Below are 13,946 nucleotides of genomic sequence, written 5' to 3'. Positions count from 1 at the left end.
GCACAGTTCTGGCACATGTTAAATTGTTATTTTTATACTCTCTTCATTTGACAATGATTAGTAATCATAGTTAACACTAACTGGAAGACATAAGATGTACGATTCAAGATATTTGCTTTCTTCCCCAAGTCAGATGGTCTGGCCACATAAAACCACTCCAACTTAGGGATCAAGAATCTCAAGGTTTGAGGAAATTTCTCAACACATCTAAAATAGTACAATGTTGTTATTTTAGATAAGGTGTAGACAGACCATGGCCTCTGAGCCAAACCTGGCAAGCCACCTGTTTTTGGAAATAAGCATTCTTTGGAGAACAGCCATGCTTGCTTGTTCATGTGTTGCCTATGGTTGCTTTCAGGCTGTAACAATGGAGTTGAGTGGTTGCAACATGACCCATGAAGCATAAGCTATTTACTATGTGGGACTGTAGAGAAAATATTTTCCAACTCCTGTTGTAGATCATACCAAATCAGCAACTGCAATAATTGGAAAGCTTAGAAAGAAACTGGGCTTCAGCATCAGCTGGGGAGGGAATATTACAGTTATTTAATGCCCTGAGGATCCATATGTAGGGTACGCATAACTGTGAACTGAGCCAGTACATCCTTATGTGACTAATTTCCAAATGTACATGAATGCTATTGTGATAGATAAAATTAAAAATTACTTAAAGACTTCATTAAATTCATACACACTTTGGGTCATTTGACCAACAAATAATAATTTCTGCCATGAAAGGGTCTCTAGAATTATTATTTTTTTTTACAAAGAAGGCCTAATGATGTAACAGAATGCATCTTAGCCATCCTAAGAAGTAAACCCATCAAATTTTAAAACAGTGCTTGAACAGTGTTTTTTGTATTCCAACAATGACTAAAGGTGAACAGTTAGAAATAATTCTTAGCCATTTGCTTTTTAAAAAAAAGTATAGCAAGCTATTTAAGATCTACAGGGTGCCTCCCTTTGCAATTGAATACATTTTTAGAGATTTCCCAAAGCTGATGAAATGGAGTTGCTGTTTTATTATTTGTCTTGCTGTTTAATAATGTTGGATTCAGTCATTTTGATAATTCAGATTGATCTTCACCCCTTAAGCAGAAATGAATAGTTGATATCTCTCATAGATTTTTGTGTGTTTTACTGTTGCTCTTGTTCATTTTGTTTACTTTTCCATAGGTTCAGATTTTTTTTTTTTTTTTTTGCTGTAAGTGACAGGAAAACCAACTCAAAATGGATTAAGGTAAAAAGAGAAATTAATTGGCTCATAAAACTCAAAAGTACACAGGTACAGCTGCCTTCAGGTGTGGCTTGATTCAGGCTTCAAACAGTGACAGTAGCATCTGGCTCTTGGCTTTGCTTCCTGTGGGTTGGTTCCATTTCAAGCACTGTGAATTTCTATCATGTCCCTCAGAGCTTTAAGGTGGCTACAGATGCAGGCTTCACACTCATACTCTGCCAATTACAATAGTAGAGAAAGAAACCTTCCTTTCCCTAGAAACACCAGCTAACCCCTCTTCACACTGACTCTAATCCCCAAACCAATCCAAGAGAGAAAACAGGCTGGCTGGTTTAAGGCAATCCAGATGTATCCTTAGAGCAGGACTTGTGTCAACCCCATCCAAGCCATGTTGGCTGAAAGTGGAAGAGAGGGAATTACTCAAAGGAATCAGAGTACTATTTCTGGATGCAAAGGGACAGGGAGGAGAGGGATGACTTTTATGAGGAGGAGGTGAGCAATCTATATTCTCTACAACTCTGAAGCAGCTTTTGTGCTCCCGGAATTTAAGTTTTGAGTTACACAGAGGAAGTAGAACTTTGTAGTCAAAGGTATGCATTTGGTTTTTTGTTCTTGCGATAGTTTACTGAGAATGATGGTTTCCAATTTCATCCATGTCCCTACAAAGGACATGAACTCATCATTTTTTATGGCTGCATAGTATTCCAAGGTGTATATGTGCCACATTTTCTTAATCCAGTCTATCATTGTTGGACATTTGGGTTGGTTCCAAGTCTTTGCTATTGTGAATAATGCCGCAATAAACATACGTGTGCATGTGTCTTTATAGCAGCATGATTTATAGTCATTTGGGTATATACCCAGTAATGGGATGGCTGTCACTCATAGGTGGGAATTGAACAATGAGATCACATGGACACAGGAAGGGGAATATCACACTCTGGGGACTGTGGTGGGCTGGGGGAGGGATAGCATTGGGAGATATAACTAATGCTAGATGACGAGTTAGTGGGTGCAGCGCACCAGCATGGCACATGTATACATATGTAACTAACCTGCACAATGTGCACATGTACCCTAAAACTTAAAGTATAATTAAAAAAAAAAAAAAAAAAGGTATGCATTTGGGAATCAGACTCCTGAAGTTCAAATTCCAGCTCCCCTTGCTTATTAGCTGTATGATCTTGGGCAATTTAATCTCTCTGTGCTTAGTTTCCTTCTCTATAAAAGGAAGATAAAAATACCTTATTTACAGGGTTGTCATGAGGACTAAATGAGTAAATATTCATGAAACATTTTGAACAGTGGCCTATAGTAAACACTGGATATGTGTTTTACTATTGTTATCATATTTTGGTTGGAAGTTGAAAGATAAGTCAATTATGGACAGTTGATTTTGTGTTTCTGGTCAGGCTATCTGCAACTATTTCATTTTCTAATGCAATAAATGATATGATAGGACTGCTTCCCCTTAGCACTGCTTCCTTTCATATGAATCAGGATAGATTAGGTTATGCTGTAATAACAAGCAATACCCAAATCCTCAAAGTCTTCAAACAACAAAGGATTATTTCACAATACTAGATGTCTGCCGCAGGTCATCTAGGAGCTCTGCTCTACATTGTTGTTATTCTCACTTTGGAGACCCAGATGACAGAGCAGTCACAATCCGTAGTGCTATTGATCTCCATGGGAGAGGGAAAGATATATAGCAGAGAAATAGAGTCTTAATGCTTCTTCTATTAAATAACACACATCACTTCTGATTCACATTCTATTGAAAAAAGCAAGTCACGTGGTCATAAGTAGGTGGTACAGTACAGTCCTATCATGTGCCAGAAAAAAAAGAGAATATCTGTGAACAGTCCTAATGCCCACCACACAATGTATTGACATGTATACTTATAAGTGCCATGTCCTCAGGGCATGTACAAACTTCATGAGAAATTTAAGTCTTGTGGCTCTTCTCATAGTATCTAGTCCTCTGAACAGTGGGTCTTTAATCAATATTGTTCAACGTTAACCAATCATATCCTGAGTCAATGGACCACTCAGATTCTTTTCTTGTCTAGAAAAGGGAATGAGAGATAGGAATTCAGGTAAAACAAAACTGTGCTAAAAAAAACATACAGTTCTGTAATCTTTGTTTCTTTATCTTTAAAATTAGAATATAATAATATCTATATACAAAGGTTCTGTAAGAATTAAATGAGATAATGTTTATGAAGTTCTTAGTTCAGTTTCTGGTGCATAGTAAATGCTCAACGTATGATAGCTAGCCTAGACCTTGGGAAATACATCAGCTTTAGACTATTTTCCTTCTTCGTTTCCTATTATTAACCATGGAAACCAAAGATCATGGGTATTTGTACAGCCAATCATTCACTGCTCATGAAGTGGTCCTTGTGAATGAGGATGGAGAGATTTTATCCTTTGAGGTATCTGGCTGGTAGGCAAAGGTAGGTTAGAGGGACTATTTTTGAGGAGGCAAGAGAACTTACCACAGCTGAGGAAGTAGGCTAGGTGCCAGAGCCAGCTTCATAGATGTGTGACCCATGCAGTCACACAGGGCTCCACAATTGGTTCGTAAACAAAAAACCCCACATTTTAATTTTGCATGGGGCCCCACAAATTATGTAACCAGGCCTGTCAGGTGCAAATAATTCCACAGAATCTCTAGTCTCTCCTACCGTTCCCCTGACCCACCCCTCACTTCCCTGATGAGAACTAGCAGTGATAATAACAGAGGTGGGAAGCCACAGCCTCAAGGAACACCTAAAAGTAGAGAAGAACCAGTACTCACTTGCCCGCAGTTAGAACAGGGTCATTTCAGGGATCTTGGGGTCATGGCAGATGAAAGGGTATGGCTGATTTCAGGCACATTGCATTGCTATTGAAGCTGTTCCAGCATGGCAGGAAAGGAGAAGGGTAGACCTATATGTTACATAGAACAGGGCCATCATACTTGGGGCCTGAAACAATGAGTTTTGGCTAAAAGTTGCTCATCTAGGAGTGAAACTGAGGGATGCCTGTTTCCTCCCACCTAGGAAAACTATTGCAGGGCTCCATAAAAGCAGCAAGGATCAGGACCAACAGGCTTTTGGTTTAGAGACCTCAGCAGGTGCTAGTCCAGGGTGGGAGGTGAGAACCAAAGAGCTCAGGAAACCTACAGAATGATTGAGGTCAGCACACTTGCAGCTTTAGGGTCTGGCTCCCTCATGTGGGACATTAGACAAACCACTGGAAAATTCTTGGGGTTCTAGAACTTGTCACAGACTGGGGACATCAGAGACAAAAGATATTCTTGAGGTTTTTACCCTTATGAAATAGGTAAAACATTTTAGAGTGTGCAAAAAAGAACACAAAACAGAATCATGTACCCATAATCAGATTGGACACATTCTGACATTTTGATATATTTGCTTTAGTCTCTTTTTTTTTAAGATAAGAATTTCTAAACAGTAGACGCCTTCTTGTATCCCTCATCTATCTTCTTTCCTTCCTTCTTTTTCTAGATGAAGTGGTGGTATGACTTCTATGTTTATTACAAATTCAGGTGTTAATAAATAATATATAGTAGTAGTTTCAAGGTTTTCAAATTTACCTCAGTGGCAATATACGGTATATATCCTTTGGCTACTCAGTATTTTGATATATGTTTGACATATATCAGTGTTGATAGGTAAAGATCTAGTGCATTCATTGAACATTTTAATTGATCGATAGCATATCACTAAATGAATGAATATGCTATAATTTATTTGTCTATATTTGTATATCATATATGTATACAAGTACATATATATAATATGTAACTATATTTTAGTGTGTTTATCAGATATAATGGTATCCTCCTTTTGTTTCTCACTTTAAAGATAATATTTCTAAAGTTTCAGCACTAAGTATTGTTTGCCAGAAGTTTTTCACATATACTCTCTATTGTGTTGACAAAATTTCCTGAAATTTCTAGTTTGTTAGTAGTTATTGTTTTACTAAATGCTTTTTTTTTGCATCTAATGAGATGATCATATCAATTTTCTCTTTTAATCTGTTAACATAGTGAATTTCTCTGCTAGGTTTTTAAGGCAGACACTACTTGTTGACTATAAAATAGTTATTCTTCCCCATTTCTCTTGCTAACAGAATGTTGATTTTGTTCAGGGCATCAGTGGTGGAAGCTAATTATAATTATATTTTCACTGCTTTTACAACCTCCCTTTCAGCTACAGGTGGCATTCTGGCCAGTCTGGCCGATGATCTGTTAAGTGGAATTCTGCCAGGAAGACTCCAGGAAAAATAAAAGAGAAAAACATGGCAGATGGAACCCTTCACCCATCCTCCTTTTTCCTTTTTCTAACCTTTGTCTAACGTCAGAGCTGCCAGCAGTCCCTGTATAAGCATGGGTAAAAGAGTAAAGAATCATCACTCCTGATACTGGTGAGCCACTGAACCAACACCGGCCACTGACTACCTCCAGATTTCTTTTTATGTGAGTAAAATAAATGCCTACTTGTGCAAGCCATTTTAAACAAGTTTCCTGTTGCTTGAACTTGGACATCTTTCTGACAACATTTCCATGATAACCATGTTTTTATATTGTTGAAATAGATACTACTTGGTCACCACGTATTTTAAATACAATATTGTATTTATTCTGCTAATATATTATTTAAGTTTTTTGCACCTGTATTCATTGGTGAGCGAGGTCCATAATCTTCCCATTAAATGCTTTTTTGTCTAGTTTTGATAGACTCATAACAGTGGATGGGCAGCTTTTCTTCTCAGTCTAATTTCTGGAATAATTCGTATAAAGCTTATGTGTCAATATTAAAGACACCTGTCTGGGTCTGATACTTTCTTTTGGTGAATAAAGTTCTCATTGTTAATTTAGGTTCTTCACTTATTAGATGTACATTACAATAATCTGTTTCTTCTTGATTTAACTTTGGTAATAACTCACGGTTTTTTTAAAGTAAATTATCTGCTTTATGTAGGATTGCAATAGTACTGGAATAGAGTTGCTCATATTTTCTTATGGTCTTACCATCTTCAATGCATCTAAAGTTATCCTCTTTTTTCATTCCTAATATTGTTTGTCTATGTACTGTTTCTTTTCCCCATGATCAATCTTGTCAGTTTATATATTGCATTAGTCTTTACAAAGACTCAGCTTTTAACTTTCATTTCTTCTCTTCTTTTTTTGTTTTCTATGTTATTATTTTCTGCACTTACTGTTTCTTTCCATTTACTTCAAGTGTGCAATACTGTTTTCATCTACCTCCTTGAGCTGATTGCTTTACTCATTTTCAATATTTCCTGTTTTAAAATGTGTGCATTTAAGACTACAATATTCCCTTTAAGTCCTTTTCTAGTTGCATTCTGACAGTTTAGATATGTAGTGATTTCACTGTCATTCAGTTCCAAGCATGTCACAAATTCCCTTAAGATTTCTATGTTAACCCATGAATTATTTACAAGAAGGACTTTGCGTTTCCAACTATTTGGGATTCTTCCTTCTTTTTATAGTTGATTGTTGATGTTTTTGCATCATACAGTGTGGACTACAGGATAATGATTCTTCAGTATCTGTTGAGATTCCTTTGCCAAGGATACTACTCAATTTTTGTATATATGAGTGGTCTCAAGAAGAAAACATATTCTCCGTTGAGTACAGGATTACATATGTCAATCAGATCAAAGTTGTTGGTTGTGTTGTTTGCATTTTCTATATGCCTAATTGATTTTTGTTCACTCCACTTACCAATTTCTAGAGGTTATAATTCAAACATCTTTATTATGATACTGTATTTGTCTAGTTCTTTCTTTATGTATGTTGAAACTGTATTTTTAGAGCACTCAGAAACAAGATGGTTCTATCTCTATTGTTAAAAAGAATTTAATGATCAAAAAAGATCATCTTCATTTTCTTCCTGAAAGTCTATTTTATCCAATGATAATATCATAGTACCAGACTGCTTTTTTAAGTGTATTTTTAAAAGTGTAAGCTGTAAAAATCCGAACATTTTATTAAAAGACAGTGTGTGCATAATGTAAGTTTCCGCCCTACTCCTGTCCCCTTTGCCTTGGTTTCCCTTCTCAGAAGTAAACTGTTGTGTTTGTATGTACCCTTTTGCAAATATTCTAAGAGTTTTTAATTTCAATGAAAATGTAATTATATTGGAGTTTTTGTGAATTTATCTGTTCATTTTTCAGAAGTGCTACTTCTTTTGTTTGCTGCATTTACTGGCTCTATGATACTTTCATTTCATTAAAAAAATTTTATTGTGAGCTCATCTTTTTATGGGATTCTTGTTGCTTGATTTTGTAAGTAGAAATCTGTGAGTACTGTGTTGTAAAAGTGTTTCTAAAGAACTCATTGCAAATGACAAGGTATTTGTGACTGCCATGGTCTCAGGAAAGCTCTCTTAGAAATCTTTTCCTTCAACAAGCATTTTCTACTAGAATGTTGCTGTCCTCAACTTCTGACCCTCTACCTGCCACTTTGATCTTGCCAAAAAGAAGGGTCTTAAATTCTACTTAAATGATAATTAAACTGGGCATAGAGTTCTAGGTTCATAGCTATTTTCCTTTAGTACTTTGAATATATTATTCCACTGTCCCCTATTGAATTTACCCTTCAGAAACTTTTTTTTTTTTTTTTGGCAAAACAAAAATCTCCTAATTTCCCTATTTTTTTTTTTTTTTTTTTTGACAGGGTCTTCCTCTGTCACCCAGGCTGCAGTGCAGTGGCACAATCTTGGCTCACAGCAGTCTCGACCTCCTGGGCTCAAGCAATCCTCCCACCTCAGCCTTCCAAGTAGCTGGGACCACAGGTGCACACAACCACGCCTGGCTAATTTTTTGTATTTTTGGTAGAGTTGGGGCTTAGCCATGTTGGCCAGGCTGGTCTTGAACTCCTGAGCTCAGGCGATCCACCCTCCTTAGCCTCCCAAAGTGCTGAGATTACAGGAGCCTATGTTATCTTTTCTGAATCTCAGAGTCTCTCAAAATCCTCTAAATGCTAAGATCTTTGAGTCTATGATTGTCAAAACTATATTTTAACAGATGTACAAAATTAGTTGGGAAGCAATAATATTATCATTTTCCAAGCCAGTTTAGAGACTCCACTTTCAGCACCTAGGGACTGTATCTCACTTTTTTAAAAAAGTAGCAATGGTGCCAACATCTTGGTCTTTTTAGAAGTTTTTCAAGTTGCAGTCAGGAAAAGCTCTTATCAATAAGATAGATGGTCAAGTTGTGTTCAAAGATGACTGCAAAGTACTGAAACATTATTTTGTGAGCTCCATAAATAGTCTCCAAGGACATGACTTAAAGATAACTTCAAAAAATATTCTAAACAATGGCATAGCTATTAGAAGAAGCATATAAATTCTCATTTGGTGAGCTAGTTCTTTGTTAGGCAAGCATTGTCCTATAGTAACAGGGTTTGATAACATTAGTTTCAACATTGATAACAAGCTATAACAGTCAGACAGTTTATACTCCAACTTCATCATATGTATGTCCTTGGGCAGATCATTAAACTTGTTGATATTAGTTTCTTATATAGTAAAATGAGAATAATTATACTTAGAGTTTGTGCCTGAAAATACCTTAAGGAATTCATTATGAGAAATAAGTGGAATCCCTAAAAATTTCAAAAAATTAAATTTTATGTATTCTGAATGCTAACATTGACTTATCCCAAAAGAACACCAAAACCCATAATAATGGACATAATTTCTTCAATAGTTAATATTGATTAGCATTATACAACTAACAAGTTATTACTTTCATCAATTGTTTTAAAATTTTGCCATTTTTTCTAGTTAAATTCTTTCATAGCCGTTGTACACTATATTCATAAGATTGCACTCATACAAAACACACATAGTAATGTTTAAGTAATTCACATTTAATGCATAAAAAATAAACAAAGGCATAGCTGTACAAAAAGAAATCATGAACCAAATTATGTTATGGATTTATGGAATTGCCTGGGATACTAAACCAGAGCTTTCTGGAAGGAGAACTTCATGTGATCCAAATTTAGAAGAGTACAGATGTGATGGTAGCTCCCCTTCCATCCCTCAGCACTTTGTGAGCTATGCAGCATTCAGGTCAGTCTTTGTCAATGCAAATAACATACATACTTCACATACTAGAGCAAGGATATTAAATGAAATGGACCCAGAAGTTGAGATATTATACATCCCAAATGGGCTTATCTCTGGGTACACCCATAATGAGATAAATACTATATTTAGCTACTATATTTAGCACATGCCTAACACATAGAAAGTGTTCAATAAATAACAATGGTGTTATCATATTGCCATGGTTTTACTAACACATCTTTCCTATTATTCTAGTCAAGTTTTTATATTTGATTCTATAAAACACCTCGTTTTTTATACCTTGTCACTTACAATTGAGTTCATGTTTAAATGGTTCTTATTCTGTTTTCCCAATGAATTTTTAATTTTATTTCTATCTTCTTCTACATATTCCCATCTCCATCACTCCATGAAAAAAAATCTATTTGGAAGGATGAGTAATTGGCTTGTGGCTTCAGCAAGAGTCAATATGTCATTAAGCGCTTACATTTCCAAAAGAAGGTACATCAGTAAGAAGTTAAAAGACAATATTTTGTAGAATGAAAGTTTACTGCTTAAGAAATTTTCTTTGATGGCTTGAGTTTTTCTCTAGAGAAAAAGTAGTCAAAACTCATTATATTTACAACAGATTTATAGTTGTTGCCATATTCAAATTTTCTCTCCAAGGTTTCTTTAACATGATTTTCTCTTCTTTAAGTGACCTTTGTCCCAAAACTCAGAGCCAGCATATAATGAGCATGAGACCCTGTTGTCAGTGGAAACTGTGACAAAGCAGCGTCAGAGATTTTAATGAGAAGAGAAAATACCAGGAGAAAAAAATAAGGGTAGAGTCCAATGTTCATTTAGATCAAATTAAGTAAAAATATTTACCTTAAGAGCAGTGCAGGATCAAATCTTCATTTCCCTGGTACAAGAGCTACTCTTTAAACATGCCTGAGTCAAATCACATGGAAATGAGAACAATAACTCTTTTTATTCTTCTGCCTCTCCAATCTACCAAACAGAATAATGAATAAGCCACCAAGTGCCACCAACGGTGCATGCTTTGTGATTTTTACATACAGGCACCATTCTTCTTGAAGGGAGCAAATTCAGGCTGATTCACTGGTAAATCACATGTTGATGATTTTGGCTTTGCATGCTGGATTTTAACATTTGGGTGCTGCCACCAGACACATGCTGTCTGATATAGAGCAGCCACAGGTGTCACAAGGTGAACTAAAAGTATATGAGCGTCACTAAGAAAACACACATGTGTCTTTGCTTTCTTAGGGAACCCATCTGCAAAACTTCACTCTTCAATCTTCCCTTTTGCTCAGCGGTGAGAACATAGGCACTAGAATCTTTCTAAAACAATCTTCAGAATATAACTTTCCCCCAGGGACAAGTGGGCCCTGGATATTAACCAGAGCTTTAAATTAAACATAATTGATGATAGTAGTGAATAGGAAAAAATACAGATTTGCCTATTAAGAACAAATAATATTCCTGTTTTCAAACCCCCCAACTTTTTAAAAAGAACCATTCCTTACTATATCTTATTCATATGTGTGGAAAACTTTTTTTAAGTTTAAAATAAGGGAATAATACATATTTTATTATTGTGTTGGTTTAGATGATTTATGTTCAAAATATGTTAAAATGATGTTTTTAAAGCTGCTGGTAATTTCTAAAAGGTCACAGAGAGATATATACAAAAAGATAAAATTTGCCACTAGGGAATTAGTACATCAAAAAGGAAACTGTATACATTCAGTTATTTTTAAGACACAATCACTGTCTCAATTGAATTACCTGGTGATTAACAGAAAAATATTTTAGAGGGCAGATAAGGCAGTCTTGATACTGACTGCATCAAGCAGATTGTTAAAGAGGTGGGAGATAAAAGTGAATATGGAATTTCAACATTGTGACCCTAACGTTTGATAGTCAGATAAGACTGTCCACTCTACAGGAAGTGAAATACAACAAAGCAGGATTAGATCACAATGTTCAAGGAGAGATCTCACTTTTGTTTTTTTTATGATGCAAGAATAAAAGCATTGTTTGCTCTCTCAGATGATAGGCACTTCACTAAGTGTGAAAATAAAGAACTAAAGCTGAGTCTACTTTTATGTCTTACCTAATTTCTTCCATGGTATGTGAAAACAAATCAAGAGAGACTGAAAAAGCTATAACTTTACTCATGTATTTTGTAAACATTTAACAATTTACAAAATCTTTTTATAATCATCAACTGGTTTGATTCTCATCACAACCCTGATAGATAAACTGGCTAAGATTATTATTATTTCCACTTTATAAAATGAGGAAAACTGCTTAAAGAGGTTAGGTGATTTGTCCAAAATCAAGTTATCAGTGTTTGAGCCAAGACTCTGACTTTGTCTTATAAATGTGCAGCAAGGACATTTTATCCCCCAACTCACATTCTCTTTTCTTTTTCTTCCTCACTTGACTCAGTTTTTTTTTTCTTTTTTGCTTGTTTTTGTTTTTTTCTTTTTTGAGATGGAGTCTTGCTCTGTTGCCCACGATAAGGCTAAAATGCAGTGGCATGATCTCGGCTTACAGCAACCTCCACCTCCTAGGTTCAAGCGATTCTCCTGCCTCAGCCTCTCGAGTAGCTGGGATTACAGGTGCCCGCCACTGTGGCAGGCTGATTTGTTTTGTTTTGTTTTGTTTTGTTTTGTATTTTTAGTAGAAATGGGGTTTCACCATCTTGGCCAGGCTGGTCTCGAACTCCTGACCTCGTGATCCACCTGCCTCAGCCTCCCAAAGTGCTGGGATTACAGGTGTGAGCCACCGTGCCCAGCCTTGACTCAGTTTTTGACTCAATCACTGTGTTGGTCATCAAGTCCTATGTTAGCAAACAATTTTTTTATTGCAGCAGATTCAGGAAGCTTTTAGCCAATATAACTAATGTCAGTCTGGTTTAGGATTTACATCAAAGGAATAGTAAAAACTTCTCTTTCCCATTCCTATTTTTGTCTCGGACAAGCATATATCCGATGTATGTGATAATTTGTGATATGTACGTATGGTCTGGCAAGAAAAGCATCAAATGTGCTGTCATTTGTGCACTATAGAAAAACAATTTGAAATACTTATGATAGTCCTTTGCAAAATATAGCAAATTCCTTATTTCCTGATGAAGTCTGCTTTAGAGTAACATCTTGACTATGCTATAGGCCTAATAACCACACAGCAAAAAAGACAAGAGAGAGGAAAGGAGGATCTTTGAATTTCTCTATGCTCTAATTATCATGTTGGGAAATCAGGGGTGTTGCTTTCTTGTTTTCTTTGTTTGTTTTAGCTTAACAATGCATGTAAATAAAAATCCATTAAATAAACCAATTTAATAGCAGAAATAATAGCATTTCTTCAGCAGAGTTCATGATCTTACTAGTCAAGACACACAAGATCTCACTTTTTATAAACAAACTGTGTATCAGCCTGCAGAGAGATAGAAATGAATGATGCAAATTCATAGCACATAGTTGTGGGAGAATAGTTAAGGGCAATTTATTCCCACAGTTTCTTTTCAAATAAATTCCCATTCTTTATGTAAATACCCAAGAGGCAAGGTTAGTTGATAAGTTACAGAGCGGGAACCACTTCTCCTCCAATCAAAATGGGAAGGCATTTCTGAAGCCCTGAATGACATGGGGTTGCATTAGGTAATTGAAGAATTGATAAGCAGAGAGCCCTGGCAGATAAATTGTAAAGGTTTGGTGCACTTTCATTTGTTTGTGATAAAGTCTAAAGCAAAGATGTTGTGGAAATGAAAATAATCAAGATAACAATAATGAAAATAGCTAATGTGTACAGAGCACCTGCTCTAGGTCAGAAACTGGGCTTTCAGAGGAAGCACCTACATGAATTATATAATTATTCACTGCATGGATTAGGGTATTGAGGCTTAGCAAGGTGAGGTGACTTTCAAGATCACAGTGGTAAATGATTTAGCTCAAGCTTGTCCAACCCATAGCCAGCAGGCCACGTGCAGCCCAGGACAGCTTTGAATGTGGCCCAACAGAAATTTGTAAACTTTCTTGAAACATTATGAGATTTTTTTTTTTTTGCAATTTTTTAAGCTTATCAGCTATTGTTAGTGTTAGTGTATTTTATATGTGGCACAAGGCAAATCTTCTCCTAATGTAGCCCAGGGAAGCCAAAAGACTGGACACCCTTAGTTTAGCTGTAGTCCCAACCCAGCTCAGGAAAGAGCTTTAGAGGAAAAATCAGGTGCTCTGGCTCCAGTTTTAGCTCCTTTGCTAATTCTATGGTTTGGATAATTCACATGACTTTCATGCACTTTAGTTGCCTCACTGCTAATATTATAAGCTCAGTAATTCCTAATCTGTAGTAGACAAACTCCTGAGGTGGGGAAGGAGCAAGCAATGTGCTTGGAGTTCATTGCAAGTGATCCACTGACTAAATAAATCATGTGTTTTGCTTATATATGTGTTCCTATTTTACAGGTGTGTAGGTTTGTTTTGGGGATATCAAAATAAACTTAAAAATTATTTCTGGATTCATCGATTCATTGTCATGATTATGTTCTCAAACAATAAACTAAAAAAGTTTATTATTAA

General features: G+C 35.9%; 2 long non-coding RNA genes across 3 annotated transcripts in view; one reads left to right on the top strand and one right to left on the bottom strand.

Annotated features, from left to right (window-relative positions):
- LOC101928338 (uncharacterized) overlaps positions 1 to 10,301 on the bottom strand; it is a 74,787-nt gene extending 64,486 nt beyond the window's left edge. For both annotated transcript variants that reach the window (XR_007062640.1, XR_242862.5), the window contains exon 1: positions 10,225 to 10,301. This is a non-coding gene — a long non-coding RNA (uncharacterized LOC101928338). The remainder of the gene's footprint in view (positions 1 to 10,224) is intronic.
- LINC02859 (long intergenic non-protein coding RNA 2859) overlaps positions 5,659 to 13,946 on the top strand; it is a 48,403-nt gene continuing 40,115 nt past the window's right edge. The window contains exon 1 of the long non-coding RNA NR_187236.1: positions 5,659 to 5,726. This is a non-coding gene — a long non-coding RNA (long intergenic non-protein coding RNA 2859). The remainder of the gene's footprint in view (positions 5,727 to 13,946) is intronic.

Source organism: Homo sapiens, chromosome 11 (genome assembly GCF_000001405.40).
Source record: "Homo sapiens chromosome 11, GRCh38.p14 Primary Assembly".
Taxonomy (NCBI): Eukaryota; Metazoa; Chordata; class Mammalia; order Primates; family Hominidae; genus Homo; species Homo sapiens.
The sequence above is the reverse complement of the archived record's forward strand: the minus strand, read 5'-3'. Positions and strand labels throughout refer to the sequence as shown.